The sequence below is a fragment of the Homo sapiens genome, chromosome 15, assembly GCF_000001405.40.
Source record: "Homo sapiens chromosome 15, GRCh38.p14 Primary Assembly".
Taxonomy (NCBI): Eukaryota; Metazoa; Chordata; class Mammalia; order Primates; family Hominidae; genus Homo; species Homo sapiens.
In genome coordinates, this window is record NC_000015.10 from 98,078,226 (window position 1) to 98,102,636 (window position 24,411).

A 24,411-nucleotide genomic window follows, 5' to 3' on the forward strand; every position below is an offset into this window, starting at 1 on the left:
TCTGTTTTTATATTTCTGAGTACTTGATCTTATCAAATTTCTTAATTTTTATAAATTGAAGAGTATTTAAAAAGTATCATATGATGTCTTAATTTTCATTTTCTTGAAAATTAGTATTTTTTTTTTTTTTTTTTTTTTTGAGACGGAGTCTCGCTCCGTCCCCCAGGATGGACTGCAGTGGCGCAATCTCGGCTCACTGCAAGCTCCGCCTCCCGGGTTCACGCCATTCTCCTGCCTCAGCCTCCCGAGTAGCTGGGACTACAGGTGCCAGCCACTACGCCCGGCTAATTTTTTTGTATTTTTAGTAGAGACGGGGTTTCACCGTGTTAGCCAGGATAGTCTCGATCTCGTGACCTCGTGATCCACCCGCCTCGGCCTCCCAAAGTGCTGGGATTACAGGCGTGAGCCACCGCGCCCGGCCCGAAAATTAGTATTTTCAATTAAAGGCAGCCAAGAAATTTCTAAGAAATGTAGTCAAGAAAATAAACTCAACCCATACTATTGAGTTTTTCCTCTTTTTTACTATTTATGTTTCCACCTATGAGAAATTTCCTCTTTTTTACTATTTATGTTTCCACCTATGAGAAATGTCTATTTGTATCTTTTTTCCTCTTCCATTAGGTTGTTTTTCTGAATTTATAATGGTTCTTTATACACGCTGGATACTAATCCTTTTCCAGCTGTACATGTTACATCTACATGTTTTAGATTTGTCTCTTCCTATTTTATAGTGTCTTCCAAAGAATTTTCTTTTTTTTTTTTTTTTTGAGATGGAGTCTCACTCTGTCACCCAGTGTGGAGTGCAGTGGTGCGATCTCAGTTCACTGCAAACTCCACCTCCCAGGTTCAAGTGATTCTCCTGTCTCAGCCTCCAGAGTAGCTGGGATTACAGGCACCTGCCACCACACCTGGCTAATTTTTGTATTTTTAGTAGAGACAGGGTTTCACCATGTTGGTCAGGCTAGTCTCAAACTCCTGACCTCAAGTGATCCACCTGCCTCAGCCTCCCAAAGTGCTGGGATTACAGGTGTGAGCCACGCACCCAGCCTAAAGAATATCTTAATAATTAAAAAAGTAATCCATATTCAAGGTGAAGAACTCTCAATATCATAAAAATGTCAAGTCTACCAAAAGCAGTCTATAGCTTCAGTCAACTTCCAGTCAAAATCCCAACTGGTTTTTAAGGTAAGTTACCTTGTAATTCACCTTCCTGTTTGAGTCAATAATTATTTTGTGCAAAAATCAACATGGAATGGAATAAGCAGCCTTTCCTACACCTGGAATAGTGGAGCAGGCCTGAGTCACATGGAAGCAGGTTTGAGTCTGAGTCCTATGTTCACCAGCTCTGCACTTGAGCAGAGTACTTCTCAAAGTGTCTATTTTCCTGTTTTTATTGGAGATAAGAATAACTAATGATAGCATCGCTAAGCGAGATAACATATACAAACTCTTCTAGAGTCATGGTACATAGTAGGTGCTCAGTAACGTGCAGACTGCCTTCTTCCCCATGCTTCCCTTTGTCTCACCATCCTCCCTTGAAGCATAGGGCTATATGGGCTTCCTGAGCCCAGCAGCCCAGCCCCCGTTAGAAAAGAGAGGCTCCCAGAGACCCTGCCCTTGGCTGGACACCCTGAAGTTCTCATGGGGGACTGAGCTGCAGATGCCTGCAGGGACTGGGTACCTGGGCATGGAGGAGGCAAATAGTCAGGGCCCACAGGCCCAGGTCATCCTACCCCCATCCACAGCCATGGAGACTGATTTAATAGTAATATTAAACATAATGAATAATAATAAATAATGCTATTTATTGTAAAACCACTTAGCAAAGTCGAAGTAGACCCTAAGATTAGTGTCACTTTCATTATTGTTATTTTTACATGTCAGTTGCTTTACATGGATTATCTCATTTAATTCTCGTAACGACCCTATGAGATCAGTCTTACAATTTTTTTTTCTTGGCTTTTGACAGCCCAAGATGCAGAGGCTCAGATGGGACAAACAGGTTCCTTGTGCAGGGTCATGTGGGTACCAAGTGTTGGAGGCAGGATGAGAAGCAAGCAATCCACTTCCACTGAGGCCCCACCTCCCACTGTTGTTAGCTCAGTGCCAATAGCTGCCTTTTACTCCACGTCATGGACAGTCTAGCCCATGGTACGCCGCTAACTGGCCTCTCCATCTTGACCAAACCTCCACAAGGCCTCAGGTTTGCAGGGTCCTGTAGACACAAAGTCTGCACCTCCTATTCAGACCTGAGCCTTTCCCTGCAGTGTGGACACTCCGCAGAGCACCTGGTAGGAACAGGCCCCTTTCCCTTTTCCTAGGCAGAGTGCCCTATGACTCTTCTGCCCACAAGCCCAGTCCTGTAGTCCCACAGTTTTCACGACCCCATCCAAGGCGCACAGAACCCATCCACAGCTGAACCTAAGCAGAGTAGACTTTTGCCAGGTGTGCACCTGGCCAATACACTGCCTATCTTGTGGCATGGTACTGTGGGTCAGCAAGGGGCATGTAACCCACAGACTGGAGAGAATAATGACTAACCAAAACAGGTGTATATAAAGAATTCAGTGCAACATTTTACAGTAAACCTTCAATGTTTGGCTTCACTGTAAATGCCATTGTTGCTTCTAGACATCTGCACCTATATTTGCTCCGTGTATTAACTCACAATGACTTCTGATGAGACTTTAATTGCTTACAGTCATGCAAAGGCAGAGTGTACTAGTGCACCTTGCCATGGGCCTCAGCTCTGTCATTCACTGCCACCTTCAGACAGTCATTCCCCTTCCTGGCTTTGCTATCTGTAAAAATGACTAATCAGTGATCACCAAGGGCCCTTCCTTGTAAAACATATCTCCTTCCATTAGCTTTCCAATTATGCATCCAGTTCAACCAATTAACAAATATTGATTGATGTTCCACGACCTGCCAAAAGTGAAAATGCTTTTCATCTCTATCTAGAACATGATTTAAATCTGTTTTTGTATCATGCAGAATGGAAAATACGAAGCACTAAGATCAAAGTTAAGAGCCATAAGGCCTTGACTGTCTCTTCCTTTCCCCTGGAATGTGATACCAGGCAATACCTGGCCCTTTCCTGAGCAGATGAAACTTACACTTCCGGGCATCTCACTTGCACTCACATAGGCACCTTGCATGGCCCAGGGAGGGGCTTCAGCAGTATATGCACATGGTCATATGTTTTTGTCCTATTTTCAAAAGTAAGACATTTTAGCTGCAATCAGTGAAGGCTGTGTCTCTTCCCACTGCTGACGCCCCCCTCCAATCAGGCCTTCCATCATGTTAAGTGGAAGGGGAGTGAGACTCCCCATGAGAACTTTTGGGGTCTAGCTAAGGACAAATTGAGTTGGGGGCACATTGACTTGAGTAGAATATGTGCATGTGGTTCACAGTAACTTCCTTGGAGAGCTAAGTTATTGCTGTCCTGGTGTAGGAATGACGTCCAGGGATACTTCTACTACCCTCCAAGCAGACTCACTGAGAGCCATGACACCAAGATAGATCATGTCCTGATATGGTCATGTGCTACTACTGTCCACACCACCAGTAGCATGTGATTAGAGAAAAAAATAGATACAGAAGCTGGTCTGAAATATCCTTCCAAATCTCACAACTCATATATGACATATGAAAGAAAATTGATGGAGGAAATTTAAAATTTGGCAACAATTCTAAATATTTACCTGACATGAAAGTGCTTTTTATCTGTATAGCAGGTTGAGAAGCTAAAAGAAACATCTCAAACTATGAATAACACCAAAAAATGTTTAATTAACCACAACAGAGTAGACTCCATTATCTTGAGTCTCTCTATAAAAAGCAATATCAAAAACACTGCTATCAAAGACGATGCAGGCAAAAGATCAAAAAAAAATGACAGAGTATTCCAGGCAGATAATTAATTTAAAATATCATATTATTTTGTGATGTTCGTAGTTTTGTCAACTTAAAAATTGTGTAGCTTGTGATTTTTCTTTTCTACATATCCTCTTGCATACCTAATTTTATTAATTCACAAATTGCATTACTATTCTGAAAGAGGATCCTCCAACTGCAGAACATCAAAGCTCCCCCACCACCAGGACCTGCCCCCTAACTGCACCTGAACTTGAGAATCTTCAGTTTTTCTGAGTGGCCTGGGGTCTCAGAGTGGACATCATTCACAGGGCAGTCAAGGGGATGGCAAAGGGATGGCCACCAGGCAGCCAATCCTAGGAGACATGGGCAAGCCAAGCATGGCAGCAGGCCTGATCCGACCCACTTCTATTGTCTTCATGAAACTAGATGCTGGGGAGACACCTGATCACTGCTCTCTTGCCTCATTTGGGGCAAATAAGCACGACACCACACACACACACACACACACACACACACACACACACACACGGCAAGCCAGCAGGGCCCATCCAAAGGCCTCAGGCAGGAGCTCTGCAGGCACTTTCTGTCCTCCTCTTCTGGAGCCTTACAGCCCACCTTTGACAAGAGATTCAGACACCTTGAATTCCTGTGCTTACCAACGGCCAGGCCAAGGAGAGTCCAGGAATGCCACCTGCTTCCCATGAGAAAGGAATTTCTCACATGACACAGGGAAAGAGTATGCCCCCCAACTCCCGGAATTGGGAGGATGACATGAGACAGGAGGGATGGGAGCAGTGTTTCTAGAATGCTGTGTGTAGGTGCTTATAGAGTCCACATGAAAGATAGAAACAAAGTCCAGACCCTGCACTTGATCTTCGTTTAACCAGTACAATTTATCTTTTCATCTGAGCAAGCTCCAGTTCTGCCAAGTAGTCGCCACTCTATATCCCTGACTCTGGGCCACTGTAGAGTATTCTTGTTACCGGCCAGGACTCAAACTATTTAAACTTGCAAATAGGCTACTTGAGTCTGCAAGGACTTGGGGTGATGCAGCCAGAGAGGACACGAACACGTTACCTCCACTACACTCTCAGACTCTCAGACCATTTGCTTTGGTTCTCAGGAGCTTCTGCCCAGCCCGACTCCCCTTTTGGCCCTATGGAAGTTGAACTTGAGGCTCCAGAGGCAGGCTACACAAGGAGCTCCTTGCTGGCATGCCTCCAAACGGTATCCACCAGCGCCTGCTCCGATTCACGCCAAGGTGACATGCACACATTTGAGCTGGTGAGGTACTTAAGAGGCAGGACTTCTGGTTCATTAAGCAGCGCCCTCCAGGACTACATACCTGATAGGAAGGATAAACAACTCAGTTAGTAAAGACTGTCCGTCATCTCCAGCTTGCCAGGGAAACAACTATCAAGAGCTTTCTTCTGATGAAATATCAATTTCTGTGCATCACTATGCAGCAGTGACTTCCTCCGCCCACCCTCACCCCCCGGCATCCATCAATCTTCCTTACAAAAATGATTACAGATAAATGGACAGTGAAAATCACAACTGCCCCGGGCATCTCTAACTCCCTGTTGCAGTTTTCACGTGCAGCATGCAGTGTGAGTTTTGCCCTCAGAGGGGCTCTGTGTGCAGGCTGCTCTTGCCTTTCCCAGTGGGAAACGAGTGGAGCCTGCCTCTGTTATTCGCTAAATCTTTCCAACATGCAACATAGCCTCACCTTAGAGAATGCTGGACAACTCAATGTCAAAAATAGCCTGTTTCATTGCCAATACGCAAGGCCAACCCTAGGCAACAAGAATGAAGATTAATGCCAAATCTCAATTCCTGGTTCCTCACATCCTCCTTGATTTTTAAAAAAGTGAGGGAAAAAAAAAAAAATCTGAGGTGGACAAGAAGCCTATTTGGCCTCCTGCTGAAAAGATATTAGTTTAATACACATTTTATTAAACATTATTTTCATACATGCATTCTGCACCTAGCATGTACGAGGCCATATACTGAGCATTTTGCACACGTTACCTTTTGTAATCCTTGCAATAACCCTTGAATTAAGTAGTGAGCTAAAAAGAAAGAGGCAGAATGGGCCAGAAATCCAACTTTCTCGGATTCTGATTCTGTGCTGTGTCTTGGTGCATAATTTTAAGAATCATGGGTATCTCCCTTCAAGAGCCTTCCCTACTTCCACCACTTCGGAAGTACATCCTGGAAGGGACCAGGTAGAGGCAGAGCCAGCGGCCAGCTGCTGGGAGGAGAAGTAGAGAGGGCTACTTAGTACTCCTCTTCACCTCTCGGGCAGAGATGATAAAAAGGAAAATTAAAAGGATAAAGGCTTAGATATTCCCAGGCTAAGAAAGGAGAAGAAAACCCAAAGTATATTAATATTAACCAAAAGGTATAAAAATATATCCCTGGCCGGGCACAGTGGCTCACACCTGTAATCCCAGCACTTTGGGAGGCTGAGGTGGGTGGATCACCTGAAGTCAGGAGTTCAAGACCAGCCTCATCAACATGCAGAAACCCCATCTCTACTAAAAATAAAAATTAGTTGGGCTTGGCAGCGCACGCCTATAATCCCAGCTACTCGAGAGGCCGAGACAGGAGAATCACTTGAACCTGGGAAGCAGACATTGCAGTGAGCCGAGATCACGCCATTGCACTCCAGCCTGGGCAACAAGAGCGAAACTCCATCTCAAAAAAAAAAAAAAAAAAAAAAAATATATATATATATATATATATATGTATATATATACATACACACACACACACATATATACATATATATGTATACATATATGTGCGTGTGTGTGTATATATATATCCCTAAATCTGGGATGCTTGGCTCAAATCTGCCCTACAAAATTGACCCAAGTTCCCAAGTTGACATTGTATCTCTTGAGAAAGGGGTCTATTCAGTGTTTAGAACTGTAATATATACACACAAATACAAAAAGTACAGAAGATAATATAATACACACCATGCATTCCCCCTCCAAAAATGAGAAGTATTGTTTCCACCTCTAAAAATCACAGGTTTACTAACTTCTTCTAAGAATCTAGACAAAGAGGCCTTCTAAGAAATGTTTTCGATGGTGCCACCTGGTGGATTCATCCTAAAAGTGCTATCTGCTCTTGCTCACAATTAAACTGACTTAAGAGGACAAATTCTCATACATAATGAGATATTTGACCCACTAATTTTTTCCCCCAGCTTTCCTTTATTTTCTCTCTAGGCATCCTCAGCCTCCCTTCCATTCCACTACAATCAACTGATCCTTGGAGTTCCCATTTCATTTCATAGCCTTTCTGCTGCATTAGAGCAATTTTACAGCAAGATTTACAACAATGTCAGGAATAAAGAAAACTGTTGTAAAATAGCCATGGACAACATTACAAACTGGCAATAAAATCGACCATAATGCACAGCTGGTATTTATGTAAGCCACCTGTTCCATTTTTAGCTACTCCTGATCCCTGCTTTTATCCCATTCACTGTGCTTTGAAATACCTTTTACTTGTCTCCTTCTCCTCTAAAGGTCTTCAGAACTGATAAGTTCCAGAATTTGCTGAGCCCTCATATTGGGGTACCCTTGCTCATCTATGAGCCCAAAGGCCCAACATGGCTGAACTTTGCTTCCCAGTCTTTGAACTCTGCCAAAACCTGGATATTGAACAGAAGAAAAGTTTCAGCAAAACCCTCATGCAACTGCAAGATACATTTAAATATAAATACATATACTCATCTAAAAAAATTAAACAGTCAAGGAACTATGTACTGTTCACCCACTATGGAGAAAATACTAGAGCCATAATTTGTAGGACTGGTTCCCATTGAATGAGCAGCATCTAAGTATGAGCTTAAAATTTTACACATTATCTCTAATTCATGCAGCAACTCTTCAAGGTTGCTTGAATCAATTACTCACTACCTCTGTGACTTCAGTAAATAATTCTATCAATCTCAGTTTAGAAGTTGGCCTATCAGGGCCAGGCGCAGTGGCTCACGCCTGTAATCTTAGCAATTTGAGAGGCTTAAGTGGGCAGATCACTTGAGGTCAGGAGTTTGAAACCAGCCTGGTCAACAAGGTGAAACTCCATCTCTACTAAAAATACAAAAAAAAAAAAATAATTAGCCAGGCGTGGTGGTGCGTGCCTGTAGTCCCAGCTAGTCAGGAAGCTGAGGCAGGAGAACTGCTTGAACCCAGGAGGTGGAGGTTGCAGTGAGCCAAGATAGCGCCACTGCACTACAGCCTGGGTAGCTCGGTTGAAGAAGAGGAAGAGGAGGAAGAAGGAGAGGAAGAGGAAGAGGAGCAGAAGAAGAAGTAGAAGGAGAGGGAGAGGAAAAGGGAGGAGGAGGAAGAGGGAAAGGGGAGGGGAAGGGAAGGGGAGGAAGAGGAGGAGGAAGAGGAGGAGGAGGAAGAAGGCGGCGGCCTATCAACTGTGTGGAATTGTAGTGAAAATTTAGAGTAGCTGTTTTAACAGGTAAGATTCACCAAATGTTTATTCTGTACTAAGCATCCTTATAGGAACTCTCCACATATTAACTCATTTTATATAGTCACAACCAACCTATGAGATGAGTACTATTAATATGCCCAGTTCATAAAAGAAAGCTGATACACAGACAAGTAACTTGCCAAAGGCCACAAACCCGTAAGTAGCAAAGCCAGGATGTGAACCCCCCCAAAAATCATATTCCAGAGCACTCTGTTCTTCATACAGAGAGATATGACTATTATTTAGATCATTAATTTTTTAAAAATCAAGGAGTGAAGTCAGCATAAATGATGGAAATAAAGACTAACAAAACTTCTGTTCTCCACAGAAACAAGGAGAAAGTTGGCAAAGATTATTAGAATCAACTTTTCCAGAACTCTAGAAATTGACCTCTAGAAATTGACCAAAGACTTGTAGCAACTCAAGAAGCATGTATTTAAGAAAACCAGCCAATTCTCAATAAGAACAGTAAGCTTTGTGGCATTTTACCTTGATTCACTCTCATGCCTCACTTTCCTTTCCTGCAGTGGCCTTGAAAAATGACACCCCACATTCCTGGAGCGGTACTGGAGCCACCAGAGTGAGCAGAATGAAGCTGTTTTTAAAGCCTCATTCCCAAAGATTTGTCCTTTCGGAACTGTCTCGTCAGACCTGTCTGGTAATACTCTGGAAGACTCCACATGCAAGATTGTCTGTATTTGACCTGACTTGGAGATTTACTGGTTTCTGGTATTTACAGAAATCTCTGTCCTATCCTTACTCAACAACCAAGCTAACCAAATAGAGACTTCAGTTGCCACAAGTAACAAAGAGTACAGACTTTGTAGAATTAGTTCAAAAAAATTATTAAATATACAAAACAGCTAAAAAATTGCAGCACCAACAATATACTCTGGGGAGGGAGATAATGATTTTAAGAGGTGTCACAATGTATTATTTTAAGTAGTCATCAACAGAAATTACAAGGCATGTAAAGAAACAAAGTATGGCTCTATAATAGGAAATTAAGCAACTAATAGAAACGGTTCCGAGAAAGTACAGACTTTAGTCTTACTAGAAAATACTTTAAAATTGGTTATTTTAAATGTGCTCCAAGAGCTAACAGAATGTGTGTCTAAACAACTGCAGTAAATTATGAAAACAATGTCTCACCAAATGCAAATATTCACAAAGGGATCGAAATTACATATTTTTGAAAAATTTATAGAAATTCTGGAGTTAAAAAGTACAACTAAAATGAAAATTTCACTATAGGAGCTGAGCACAAAATTTGAAGAAGCAGAAGAGAGTATAGCAAACTTGAAGATAGGTCAATTGATATTATCTAGTTTGAAGAACAAGAAGAAAGAAAATGAACACAGCTTTGGAGGCCTTTGGGACATCAGCAACAAAGCAAGATGTAGATTAGAAGAACTTCAGAAAGAAGGGAGACAGAGAAAGGGATAGAAAGAATATTTGAAGAAATAACGAATCAAAACTTCCCAAACTTGATGGAAAACATCAATCTACATATCTAAGAAGCTCAACAAACTGCAAGTAGAGTAAACTCAAAGAGATACACAGTCAGACACATCATAATCAAACTGTTGAGAGAATCTTGAAAGCACGAGAGAGAGACAAGTCATGTTCAAGGATCCTCAGTAAGCTGATTTCTCACCATAAACCACGGAGGCCAGAAGATACTGGATGACATATTCAAAGAGCTGACCAATGTCAACAAAGAATTCTATGTCCAGCAATATTATCCTTCAAAAATAAAGAAAAAATTGGGACGCGGGGGCCCAGAGCTTTCGGGCAGGCCCAGCCATTGAAACCCGAGACGCGGGGAGGAGCTGTCGCTGCGCTCCGGGAGGAACGAGGGCGGCCCTGGGCCTGGCCAGAGCGGCTCCCCTTACCTGTGACTCAACAGGCGGCCTCAGCCTCCATCCTCGGGCTAGGCTGGCGCCGCGCCCCGCCCCGGAGGCTGTCCCTGTGCCCCTGGCGTCCTCCTCCCTCTCCCATTCCTCCCCAGGGGCTGCCCCCATTCCCCGCTCCCCGGCCCCTTCCCCTCCCCCAGGGTCACCACCCAAGTCTTCCCAGCTACCAACCCCTGGCTCCCCAGAGAGTTTGCAAAGATTGTGGGCTCCACCTTCCCTCCTGATTCGCCACCCGCAGGAGAATTTACTATTTCTCTTTCATTTGTGGGGAGAAGACACCGTTAACGCCCCCACCCCCCGCTCACACGCCCACCCTCGCCGGTGCCCCGGGCCTGAACGCGGCACATCTCAACCCCCTCCCACGCCCCTTCACACTTCTATTATTTCTGTTTCTTTGGACAAGAATCATTTGCGTTAATGATTTTTTTTTGAAAACGTTCAAGTTTCACTCCAGTAAGCTTCCTAGAAGGAAGGAGGAGGTGAGGGAGGAGAGAGAAGGAAGAGGAGGAGGAGGAGGCTTTGGCTGCAGCTGCGGCGAAGGCGGTTTTGGCGACTTTGGCGGCGAAAATTTAGACAGTTGAAAAATAGGCCAAAGCACACTGAACCTGCAGGACATCCCGTAATCTTTTCTGCCCATTTCAAAGTCTTTCCCTGTCCTCACCCAACTATTACAGGCCGCTTTTGCTGAAACCTGACAATGTCATTTAGTAAATGTTCAGCTAGTATTCATTTGAAATAGAAATAACCAACAGCAGGTAATTTCTTCTTGGCCTGTTTCTGCGTGTTATCCAAGGGGAGGTGGAATACAGTGGTGGTTTTAAAATGCCAGCAGCCTAGGAACCCAAAGGCCTCAGCAGCCTGGCACCTCCCCACCCCCCTGCGGCTCTTAGGGGCCGAAAGATTGAGGGTCGTGATCAACTCAGTATACCACTGGAGGCCACGTGAGTAAGCAGCAAACTGTTTCTCATGAGAGCAGGGTGTTGGCAAACTGACAACCTGTGTCTGCCGCCCAGAAGGACTGCTGAGGGCAGTCACCACCCAGGTGCAAGTGTTTAGGATTAGACACAACTGAAGCCTGTTAGTAATGAGAACTTGTGATAATCAAACAGCTGACCAGTCTTAGGGCCTCCTCCCTGCTCATTCTCCCAATGAATGCGAAGGGCTGTGGAAGCTCGGGGGGCTGCCTTCGCTCACTAGAAGCAGGGAGCTCCCTTCTTCCCGGTTTCCCCTTCCTTTAAAACAGATTTTTTTAATCATTTCTACGTTTGTCCTTTCGTTCAGTCCTGTAATGACGGTCTCAAGTAGTAACAATAACTGTCGTAGTGACGGTCTCAAGTAGTAACAGTAATAACTGTCATAGTGACGGTCTCAAGTAGTAATTGTGGCAGTCAGCCACAGACACACAGGACTAAAGGTTCATTAATGTCTGCTGTAAAAATGTAGAATATATTTCTTCAAGGTCTGAAGAAGTATACATTTTTTGATGTACGTTTTTGTCACATTTTTTAAAGTTCTCTTGTTTTTAAAAAATAACATGTATAGGGCCGGGCGCAGTGGCTCACGCCTGTAATCCCAGCACTTTGGGAGGCGCAGGCGGATGGACCACCAGGTCAGGAGATAGAGACCATCCTGGCTAACACGGTGAAACCCCGTCTCTACTAAAAATACAAAAAAAATTAGCCGAGCACCGTGGCGGGTGCCTGTAGTCCCAGCTACTCCGGAGGCTGAGGCAGGAGAAGGGTGTGAACCCGGAAGGCGGAGCTTGCAGTGAGCCAAGATCGCGCCACTGCGCTCCAGCCTGGGCGACAGAGCGAGACTCCGTCTCAAAACAAATTACATGTATAGTGAACAGTTCCTTTAAAATACGTGTGTGTGTGTGTATACAGCATATATAAAGAATAATGAACTGAAAAGTTCCCTGCTTCTCATTCAACTATTTCCAAAGTCAGTATTAGTCAAATACCTTCTTTCCTTTTAGTTTGAGTTTTGTGTCTCACATGAGTAACTTTAAACTACTCCAAAACTAGAAAATAATTCTTCTAAATTTACCTCCAGTACTTTTACTGTCTTGATTTTCAGATTTGAATTTTAATCCAATCATAATTCACTGACCTATATGGCATAAGGAATGGATCTAGCTATATCTCATGGTTCCCACACCATTAAATGGTATATTCTTTCTGCTACTAATTTGAATTATCTCTTTAACTATATATTAAATTCTCATACACATTCTAGCTATTTGATTGACAGTTTTCCTATTTCTACAACAATATTGCACTATTTTAATTACCCTAGCTTTTAACATATATTTGGATATCTGGGAAGGCAAGCCAGTTGCATCTAGTCTTTTAACATTGGTTTGCATTAACATTTTTAAAGTTTTGAACCTTCCCATTACAGAACATGGCATCCTTTCATTTATTCGGGTCTTCTATGTTTTTTTTCCTAAAGTTCCAGGTTTTTTTTCTTTTTTTTTTTTTTTTTGGAGACGGACTTTCGCTCTTGTTGCCTAGGCTGAAGTGCAAAGGTACAATCTCCGCTCATTGTAACCTCCGACTCCTGGGTTCAAGCCATTCTCCTGCCTCAGCCTCCCAAATAGCTAGGATTACAGGCACGAATCACCACGCCCGGCTAATTTTTGTATTTTTAGTAGAGAACAGGGTTTCACCACGTTGGCCAGGCTTGTCTGGAACTCCTGACCTCAGGTGATCCACCTGCCTCGGCCTCCCAAAGTGCTGGGATTACTAGCGTGAGCCACCGCACCCCGCCAGTTCCACAGTTTTCCACAAAGGCATCTCATACATTTCTTGCCATGTTTATTCCTAGAGATTTCTGATATTTGCAGGGCATTGTGGATGGGCTCTTTTCCCCAATTACATTAGAATTAGTTATTGCTGATATATAAGAAAACTCTTAGGCCCCGAGAGGTGGCTCCCACCTGTAATCTCAACACTTTGGGAGGCCAAGGCAGGAAGCTCACTTGAGGCCAAGAGTTCAAGACCAGCCGGGGGAGGAGCCAAGATGGCCGAATAGGAACAGCTCTGGTCTACAGCTCCCAGCGTGAGCAACGCAGAAGACGGGTGATTTCTGCATTTCCATCTGAGGTACCGGGTTCATCTCACTAGGGAGTCCAGACAGTGGGCGCAGGCCAGTGGGTACGTGCACTGTGCGCCAGCCGACTCAGGGCGAGGCATTGCCTCACTCGGGAAGTAAAAGGGGTCAGGGAGTTCCCTTTCCTAGTCAAAGAAAGGGATGACGGACAGCACCTGGAAAATCGGGTCACTACCACCCGAATACTGTGCTTTTCCACGGGCTTAAAACACGGCGCACCAGTAGATTATAACCCGCACCTGGCTCGGAGGGTCCTACGCCCACGGAGTCTCGCTAATTGCTAGCACAGCAGTCTGAGATCAAACTGCAAGGCGGCAGCGAGGCTGGGGGAGGGGCGCCCGCCATTGCCCAGGCTTGCTTAGGTAAACAAAGCAGCCGGGAAGCTCGAACTGGGTGGAGCCCACCACAGCTCCAGGAGGCCTGCCTGCCTCTGTAGGCTCCACCTCTGGGGGCAGGGCACAGACAAACAAAAAGACAGCAGTAACCTCTGCAGACTTAAATGTCCCTGTCTGACAGCTTTGAAGAGAGCAGTGGTTCTCCCAGCACGCAGCTGGAGATCTGAGAACGGGCAGACTGCCTCCTCAAGTGGGTCCCTGACCCCTGACCCCCGAGCAGCCTAACTGGGAGGCACCCCCAAGTAGGGGCAGACTGACACCTCACATGACCCCGTACTCTAACAGACCTGCAGCTGAGGGTCCTGTCTGTTAGTTTTCCTTCTAACAAACAGAAAGGACATCTACACCAAAAACCCATCTGTACATCACCATCATCAAAGACCAAAAGTAGATAAAACCACAAAGATGGGGGAAAAAACAGAACAGAAAAACTGGAAACTCTAAAAAGCAGAGCACCTCTCCTCCTCCAAAGGAACGCAGTTCCTCACCAGCAACGGAACAAAGCTGGACGGAGAATGACTTTGACGAGCTGAAAGAAGAAGGCTTCAGATGATCAAATTACTCCGAGCTACAGGAGGACATTCAAACCAAAGACAAAGAAGTTGAAAACTTTGAAAAAAATTTAGAAGAATGTATAACTAGAATAACCAATACAGAGAAGTGCTTAAAGGAGCTGATAGAGCTGAAAACCAAGGCCCGAGAACTACGTGAAGAATGCAGAAGCCTCAGGAGCCGATGCCATCAACTGGAAGAAAGGGTATCAGTGATGGAAGATGAAATGAATGAAATGAAGCGAGAAGGGAAGTTTAGAGAAAAAAGAAAAAGAAACGAGCAAAGCCTCCAAGAAATATGGGACTATGTGAAAAGACCAAATCTACGTCTGATTGGTGTACCTGAAAGTGATGAGGAGAATGGAACCAAGTTGGAAAACACTCTGCAGGATATTATCCAGGAGAACTTCCCCAATCTAGCAAGGCAGGCCAACACTCAAATTCAGGAAATACAGAGAAATCCACAAAGATACTCCCTGAGAAGAGCAACTCCAAGACACATAATTGTCAGATTCACCAAAGTTGAAATGAAGGAAAAAATGTTAAGGGCAGCCAGAGAGAAAGGTCAGGTTACCCTCAAAGGGAAGCCTATCAGACTAACAGCTGATCTCTCGGCAGAAACTCTAAAAGCCGGAAGAGAGGGGGGCCAATATTCAACATTCTTAAAGAAAAGAATTTTCAACCCAGAATTTCGTATCCAGCCAAACTAAGCTTCGTAAGTGAAGGAGAAATAAAATACTTTACAGACAAGCAAATGCTGAGAGATTTTGTCACCACCAGGCCTGCCCTAAAAGAGCTCCTGAAGGAAGCACTAAACATGGAAAGGAACGACTGGTACCAGCCGCTGCAAAATCATGCCAAAATGTAAAGACCATCGAGACTAGGAAGAAACTGCATCAACTAACGAGCAAAATAACCAGCTATCATCATAATGATATGATCAAATTCACACATAACAATATTAACTTTAAATGTAAATGGACTAAATGCTCCAATTAAAAGACACAGACTGGCAAATTGGATAAAGAGTCAAGACCCATCAGTGTACTGTATTCAGGAAACCCATCCCATGTGCAGAGACACACAAAGGCTCAAAATAACAGGATGGAGGAAGATCTACCAAGCCAATGGAAAACAAAAAAAGGCAGGGGTTGCAATCCTAGTCTCTGATAAAACAGACTTTAAACCAACAAAGATCAAAAGAGACAAAGAAGGCCATTACATAATGGTAAAGGGATCAATTCAACAAGAAGAGCTAACTATCCTAAATATATATGCACCCAATACAGCAGCACCCAGATTCATAAAGCAAGTCCTTAGTGACCTACAAAGAGACTTAGACTCCCACACATTAATAATGGGAGACTTTAACACCCCACTGTCAACATTAGACAGATCAAGGAGACAGAAAGTCAAGAAGGATACCCAGGAATTGAATTCAGCTCTGCACCAAGCAGACCTAATAGATATCTACAGAACTCTCCACCCCAAATCAACAGAATATACATTTTTTTCAGCAACACACCACACCTATTCCAAAATTGACCACATAGTTGGAAGTAAAGCTCTCCTCAGCAAATGTAAAAGAACAGAAATTATAACAAACTGTCTCTCAGACCACAGTGCAATCAAACTAGAACTCAGGATTAAGAATCTCACTCAAAACCACTCAACTACATGGAAACTGAACAACCTGCTCCTGAATGACTACTGGGTACATAACGAAATGAAGGCAGAAATAAAGATGTTCTTTGAAACCAATGGGAACAAAGACAACATACCAGAATCTCTGGGACACATTCAAAACAGTGTGTAGAGGGAAATTTATAGCACTAAATGCCCACAAGAGAAAGCAGTAAAGATCCAAAACTGACACCCTAACATCACAACTAAAAGAACTAGAAAAGCAAGAGCAAACACATTCAAAAGCTAGCAGAAGGCAAGAAATAACTAAAATCAGAGCAGAACTGAAGGAAATAAAGACACAAAAAACCCTTCAAAAAATTAATGAATCCAGGAGCTGGTTTTTTGAAAGGATCAACAAAATTGATGGACCGCTAACAAGACTAATAAAAAAAGAGAGAAGAATCAAATAAACGCAATACAAAATCATAAAGGGGATATCACCACTGATCCCACAGAAATACAAACTACCATCAGAGAATACTACAAACACCTCTACACAAATAAACTACAAAATCTAGAAGAAATGGATAAATTCCTTGACACGTACACTCTCCCAGGACTAAACCAGGAAGAAGTTGAATCTCTGAATAGACCGATAACAGGAGCTGAAATTGTGGCAATAATCAATAGCTTACAAACCAAAAAGAGTCCAGGACCAGATGGATTCACAGCCGAATTCTACCAGAGGTACAAGGAGGAACTGGTACCATTCCTTCTGAAACTATTCCAATCCATAGAAAAAGAGGGAATCCTCCCTAACTCATTTTATGAGGCCAGCATCATCCTGATACCAAAGCTGGGCAGAGACACAACCAAAAAAGAGAATTTTAAACCAATATCCTTGATGAACATTGATCAAAAATCCTCAATAAAATACTGGCAAACCAAATCCAGCAGCACATCAAAAAGCTTATCCACCATGATCAAGTGGGCTTCATCTCTGGGATGCAAGGCGGGTTCAATATACACAAATCAATAAATGTAATCCAGCATATAAACAGAACCAAAGACAAAAACCATATGATTATCTCAATAGATGCAGCAAAGGCCTTTGACAAAATTCAAAAACCCTTCATGCTAAAAACTCAATAAATTAGGTATTGATGGGATGTATTTCAAAATAATAAGAGCTATCTATGACAAACCCACAGCCAATATCATACTGAATGGGCAAAAACTGGAAGCATTCCCTTTGAAAACTGGCACAAGACAGGGATGCCCTCTCTCACCACTCCTATTCAACATAGTGTTGGAAGTTCTGGCCAGGGCAATTAGGCAGGAGAAGGAAATAAAGGGTATTCACTTAGGAAAAGAGGAAGTCAAAATGTCCCTGTTTGTAGATGACATGATTGTATATCTAGAAAACCCCATTTTCTCAGCCCAAAATCTCCTTAAGCTGATAAGCAACTTCAGCAAAGTCTCAGGATACAAAATCAATGTACAAAAATCACAAGCATTCTTACACACCAACAACAGACAAACAGAGAGCCAAATCATGAGTGAACTCCCATTCACAATTGCTACAAAGAGAATAAAATACCTAGGAATCCAACTTACAAGGGATGTGAAGGACCTCTTCAAGGAGAACTACAAACCACTTTTATTTCCTCAAGGAAATAAAAGAGGATACAAACAAATGGAAGAACATTCCATGCTCATGGGTAGGAAGAATCAATATCGTCAAAATGGCCATACCGCCCAAGGTAATTTACAGATTCAATGCCATCCCCATAAAGCTACCAATGACTTTCTTCACAGAATTGGAAAATAGTACTTTAAAGTTCATATGGAACCAAAAAAGAGCCTGCATCACCAAGTCAATGCTAAGCCAAAAGAACAAAGCTGGAGGCATCACACTACCTGACTTCAAACTATACTACAAGGCTACAGTAACCAAAACAGCATGGTACTGGTACCAAAAAAGAGATACAGACCAATGGAACAGAACAGAGCCCTCAGAAATAATGCCACATATCTACAACTATCTGATCTTTGACAAACCTGCCGAAAACAAGCAATGGGGAAAGGATTCCCTATTTAATAAATGGTGCTGGGAAAACTGGCTAGCCATATGTAGAAAGCTGAAACTGGATCCCTTCCTTACACCTTATACAAAAATCAATTCAAGATGGATTAAAGACTTAAACATTAGACCTAAAACCATAAAAACCCTAGAAGAAAACCTAGGCATTACCATTCAGGACATAGGCATGGGCAAGGACTTCATGTCTAAAACACCAAAAGCAATGGCAACAAAAGCCAAAATTGACAAATGGGATCTAATTAAACTAAAGAGCTTCTGCACAGCAAAAGAAACTACCATCAGAGTGAACAGGCAACCTACAGAATGGGAGAAAATTTTTGCAATCTACTCATCTGACAAAGGGCTAATATCCAGAATCTACAATGAACTCAAACAAATTTACAAGAAAAAAACAAACAACCCCATCAAAAAGTGGGCAAAGCACATGAACAGACACTTCTCAAAAGAAGATATTTATGCAGCCAAAAAACACATGAAAAAATGCTCACCATCACTGGCCATCAGAGAAATGCAAATCAAAACCACCATGAGATACCATCTCACACCAGTTTGAATGGCAATCATTAAAAAGTCAGGAACCAACAGGTGCTGGAGAGGATGTGGAGAAATAGGAACACTTTTACACTGTTGGTGGGACTGTAAACTAGTTCAACCATTGTGGAAGTCAGTGTGGCAATTCCTCAGGGATCTAGAACTAGAAATACCATTTGACCCAGCCATCCCATTACTGGGTATATACCCAAAGGACTATAAATCATCCTGCTATAAAGACACATGCACACGTTTCTTGTGGCACTATTCACAATAGCAAAGACTTGGAACCAACCCAAATGTCCAACAATGATAGACTGGATTAAGAAAATGTGGCACATATACACCATGGAATACTATGCAGCCATAAAAAATGTTGAGTTCACGTCCTTTGTAGGGACATGGATGAAACTGGAAATCATCATTCTCAGTAAACTATCGCAAGAACAAAAAACCAAACACCACATATTCTCACTCATAGGTGGGAATTGAACAATGACAACACATGGACTCAGGAAGGGGAACATCACACTCTGGGGACTGTTGTGGGGTGGGGGGAGGGGGGAGGGATAGCATTGGGAGATATACCTAATGCTAGATGACGAGTTAGTGGGTGCAGCACACCAGCATGGCACATGTATACATATGTAACTAACCTGCACATTGTGCACATGTACCCTAAAACTTAAAAGTATAATAATAAAAAATTTAAAAAAAAAAGACCAGCCTGAGCAACATAGCAAGACTCCCTCTCTACAAAAAAGAAAAAGTTAAAAAATTAGCCAAGCATGGTGGCACACACCTGTGGTCCCAGCTACACAGAAGGCTGAGGTGGGAAGATCGCTTGAGCTCAGGAGTTTGAGGATTCAGTGAGCTCTGACAGTGCCACTGCACTCCAGCCTGTGTGTCGTCAGAGGGAGACACTATCTCTTTAAAAAGAGAAAACTATTAGCTTCAGTATATACCAGTCTCATATCCAACCATTTTTAAGAGGTCCAGTAATTTTTAAAAATCAATGATCATAAATATTATAATCGGATTGTCTATAAATAAGCTGGATCACTAAGCCTTTCCCAAACCTACTCAGCCACTTAGCACTCACTTCTGACACGAAATTTACCCTCGGCCCCAATCAAGAAAAAAAGAAAAATGCCTCTTACATGTGTATACCGGAAAATAGTGGCCCCTTGAAGGCCTGGTGCATGTTTTAGTGTGGCCCCTCTTCCATTCCAAGAGGATATTAAGCTCTCTGCTGCACCCTCCATCTGGCCTCATTTGTCTACACAAGAATTTCCTCAGTGTTAAGAACACAAATGTTCCAGTCATTCCTAAGATATTTGTGAAATTTCAAAGAAAAATCCAGTATTTAAACAACAGGGCTAACAAGCTACTGGATTTTAACAAACAGAAAACTTCCCGCTTCAACAGTTGTTACTTTGCAGTCAAAGAGCTGTAGTCCCTAAAAAAAAAAAAAAAAAAAAAAAAAAAAAAGGCTTAGCAAAAATCTAAAAGAAAAATGTAAGACAGAAGAAAAATAAAGACAAATCCTTCTACAAAATATAAGAATTATCACCTTGTGATATAGCATAGAAAACTGCCAGGAATTTTATTTATTTATTTATTTTATTTTTTTTGAGACATCGAGTCTGGCTCTGTCACCCAGGCTGGAGTGCAGTGGTGCGATCTTGGCTCACTGTAATCTCTGCCTCTCTGGTTTCAGTGATTCTCCTGCCTCAGCCTCCCAGGTAGGTGGGACTACAGGTGCACACCACTACACCCAGCTAATTTTTGTATTTTTAATAGTGATGGTGTTTCATGATGTTGGCCAGGCTGGTCTCGAACTCCTGACCTCAAGTGATCTGCCTGCCTCAGCCTCCAAAAGTGCTGGGATTATAGGCGCAAAGCACCACACCTGGCCCTGCCAGGAATTTTAAAACAGCCATTTTCAAAACTATTAATTCAAAATTCACAGGTGAAGTTGTAAATTCCATTATCTTCAATATCAGTTTCCCATGGCATATTGAAGATGATACCAGCATACCAATTTCTTGATGGTTTTACAACCATTTTGAATGATTGTTTCTCGTCTTTTTTTTTTTTTCATTTTTAGAGACAGGGGCTTGCCCTCTCATCCAGGCTGGAGTGGAGAGATCATAGCTCACTGCAGCCTTGACCTCCCAGGCTCAAGCGATCTTCTCCCATCAGCTGGGAGAAGCTCCTATGTAGCTGGGAATACAAGAGCATGCCACCATGCCTGGCTTCAAGTTTTTAATTTTATTGATTCTCACTCTGTCGCCCAGGCTGGAGTGCAATGGCACAATCTTGGCTCACTGCAATGTCTGCCTCCTGGGCTCAAGCGATTCTCCTGCCTCAGCCTCCTGAGTAGCTGGGACTACAGGCACCTGCCACCACGCCTGAGTGTTTTTTTTTTGTATTTTTTTTTTTTTGTAGAAATGGGGTTTCACCATGTTGGCCAGGCTGGTCTTAAACTCCTGACCTCAAGTGATCCACCTGCCTCAGCCTCCCAAAGTGCTAGGATCACAGGCATGAGCCACCGCACCCAGCCTCAAGTTTTTAATTTTAAAAGAAGTAAATGGTGTAAGCATTTGAGAAGCATCCTTTAGTATAAAGTTCAAAAACATGAATGTATAGTGTCCAATACCTCCAAGAAGATGAATTAGAGCTTTAGATTCCTAACCTACCTGGGCACAGCAGCCAGATCCCACCTTGAACAACCAGCAAATTCACATCCCGGTTGGAGTGGTGGGGTGTGGGAGAATGTTTTTATCAAATTTTTAACAGATTGTACTAGGAAAAAATTGTAAAATAATTGTAAAAAATTAGTGGTGCTAACTGCTTCTGTTAATTCCTAGTACACATCATAAAAAGTATAATTTTGAAAACAAAAATGTTGGCCATGCCTCTTCATAATGCTCTTCTAACTATTGTGAATAGTGCCACAATAAACATATGTGTGCATGTGTCTTTATAGCAGGATGATTTATAGTCCTTTGGGTATATACCCAGTAATGGGATGGCTGGGTCAAATGGTATTTCTAGTTCTAGATCCCTGAGGAATTGCCACACTGACTTCCACCATGGTTGAACTAGTTTACAGTCCCACCAACAGTGTAAAAGTGTTCCTATCAGCAGCCATACCATGTCCCCTGTTAAGAGAAATATTCAAATGCAAGATTTTGCAAATGACAGCTCACAGCCCCACTAAGCCCATTGCCCATTTTTGAACAGCCTGAGAGCTAAGAATAGTTTCTACACTTGCAAATAGCTGAAAAAATCCAAAGACTATTTCATGACACATGGGCATTATATTAAATTCAAAATTCAGCATCCATAAATAATTATTGGAATGCAGTCACACCCATTCACTTACATATTATCTATTGCTACTTTCACACTGCAACAGCCAAATTCCAACTGGCCCACAAAGCCTACAACGTGGGCCAGGTGTAGTGGCTCACGCCTGTAATAACAGCACTTTAGGAGGCTGAGGCAAGCAGATCACTTGAGATCAGGAGTTTGAGACCAGCCTGGCCAACATGGTGAAACCCTGTCTCTACTAAAATTAGCCGGGAGTGGTGGCGTGCACCTGTAATCCCAGCTACTCAGGAGGCTGAGGCACGAGAATGGCTTGAACTGGGAGGCGGAGGTTGCAGTGAACCGAGATTACACCACTGCACTCCAGCCTGGGCCACAAAGTAAGACCCTGTCTCAAAGACCCTCCTAAGAGGGTCACATCTTGCTCTCTTAATCCTAGAGTCAAATCTGATTACAAACATTTTCCTCTCTGGAATCCCGCTCGTAAAGAAGATCACTGTGCTCTCTGTTAAATAAAACAGCTCCATTTAGTTGCCTTATTCGTTCTCAGGCTTACTGTATTTTATCGGCCTGAAGACTGTTTGACATCAATTTTTAGAGAGCGTTTGTTTTTACAAGGGAAAAAGAAATAAAAGTGCAGATGTTGAACCTCAAAATCCATACTTCTCGGAGCTATTTTCATTCCAGAAAGTAGGAATGTGCTGGGGGTTTCTTGTGTGGGGAGAGGGGAGGTGAATGAATACAAAAATAGACATATCACTGTGACTAAGTAAAATATTTTATGTCTGTTGTTTTTCCTATTAATTTCAAAATTAGAGAAAACTTTAGAACAAAAAAAAGTGAATTATGGGAAAGTGAAAACTCCAGGACACAATCCAGTTTAATTAAAATAGGAATAGCTCCTGTCAAATCAAAAAAAAAATGATGAAAATTTCAGCTTTGTTATCAGAAAAGTAGTATGGTTAAAGATGGGCAGTCTTTGCACTTAAGGAGTCTGCTTAAACACAAGTTCCCATTCCCAGACCTCATCGGTGAATGTTGATAGCAGAGTTGGACCCTAGCAGCAACCAACTTTACAAATGTGGGCATTTCTGGCCGGGCGCGGTGGCTCATGCCTGTAATCACAGCACTTTGGGGGTTCGAGGCAGGTGGATCACGAGGTCAGGAGTTCCAAGACCAGCCTGGCCAAGAAGGTCAAACCTTGTCTCTACTAAAAACATACAAAATAGCCAGGCGTGGTGGCAGGTGCCTGTAACCCCAACTACTTGGGAGACTGAGGAAGAGAATTGCTTGAACCTGGCAGGCAGAGGTTGCAGTGAGCCGAGATCGCACCACTGCACTCCAGCCTGGGCGACAGAGAGAGACTATGTCTCAAAAAAAAAAAAAAAAAAAAAAAAAAAAAAAGACACAAAACGGCTGTGATGGGGGGCATTTCTTAATGGCCCACTCTCTTCCTTTAACTGTGCAGGGGAAGCCAAGACCCCATGATGCAACTAGGTAAGTGATAGGAGCCAGGAGAGCTGCTCACCAGAAGAGGTTGAGACCAAGTCCACAAGTGCCTCCAGGAATATGAGAAACTGGGTAACTTCCGTGAAATGAGGCGAAGTACAAAGCCCTCTGCATCCCACTCAACACAAGGTGGGCTCCAGCTTCTCAGGGCAGGGAGTGGGAGACCAGTGGGAGCAAATGGCACATCCCACCTGTCCTTGGCTATAAAGAAGCCTGCAGCCCACACCAGGAGCCAATTAAAGGGAATTGTACCTGGTTCAGAATCCCAGAAAGCCATCAAGTGGGGTCTAATCCCCTGGCGTGATCCCAATTAAAAGGGAGCGCTATCAGGAGAACAATTCAGCAGATGGAGCCACGTGGTCCTGCTGTTACACTGAGCTCTCTAGAGGCCGAAGGGTGCTTGAGAGGCTCTGCCTGCTTCCCTGAAAGGAGTTTCTCCTCCCCAGACCTAGCTAGGGACAGAGAATTATGGCTCTTATTATACAGCTTTGGAAAAATAGTATTTTTAGCTTAAAAAAAGTTTTTAAGACTATTTTGAGAGACAAGGTCTTGCTCTATCACCCAGGGTGGAGTGCAGAGGTGCAGTAATGGCTGACTGGGCTCAAGTGATCCTCCCGCCTCAGCCTCCCTGAGTAGCCAGGACTATGGGCGCACACCACTTTAGAAATTTAACTGACGCAGTCTTGCCATGTTGCCCAGGTTGATCGTGAACTCCTGGCCTCAAGCTATCCTCCCACCTTGGCCTCTCCAAATGGTGAAATTAAAGGTATAAGCCAATGCACCAGGCCAAAAGTTCTTTTTTTTTTTAAACAGTATTCCCTGAAAGATCAAGATATTGTATAACAGTTTCTTCAATAGAGGAAATAGCCCCAAATGTTAGCTTTTTCAGTTATTCTGACACAATTAAGAGGAGGACTGTCTGCAGAGCCAGATGGCATGCCACG

General features: G+C 43.1%; 1 long non-coding RNA gene across 1 annotated transcript, besides 1 other annotated feature; it reads right to left on the reverse strand.

Moving 5' to 3' along the window:
* Positions 1-4,753: 4,753 nt before the first annotated feature.
* LINC01582 (long intergenic non-protein coding RNA 1582) lies at positions 4,754-10,528 on the reverse strand. Its single transcript, NR_120325.1, has 4 exons — positions 10,473-10,528; positions 7,397-7,549; positions 5,609-5,675; positions 4,754-5,224 (listed from the first exon to the last, which is right to left on the reverse strand). It is a non-coding gene; the product is annotated as a long intergenic non-protein coding RNA 1582 (long non-coding RNA).
* Positions 13,591-14,152: an enhancer, noted in NCBI's record as "OCT4-NANOG-H3K27ac-H3K4me1 hESC enhancer chr15:98635045-98635606 (GRCh37/hg19 assembly coordinates)". NCBI's record gives its function as "activates a minimal SCP1, AML or CMV promoter by ChIP-STARR-seq in naive H9 embryonic stem cells {active_cell/tissue: H9 hESC(naive)}" and the evidence as "EXISTENCE:reporter gene assay evidence [ECO:0000049][PMID:30033119]".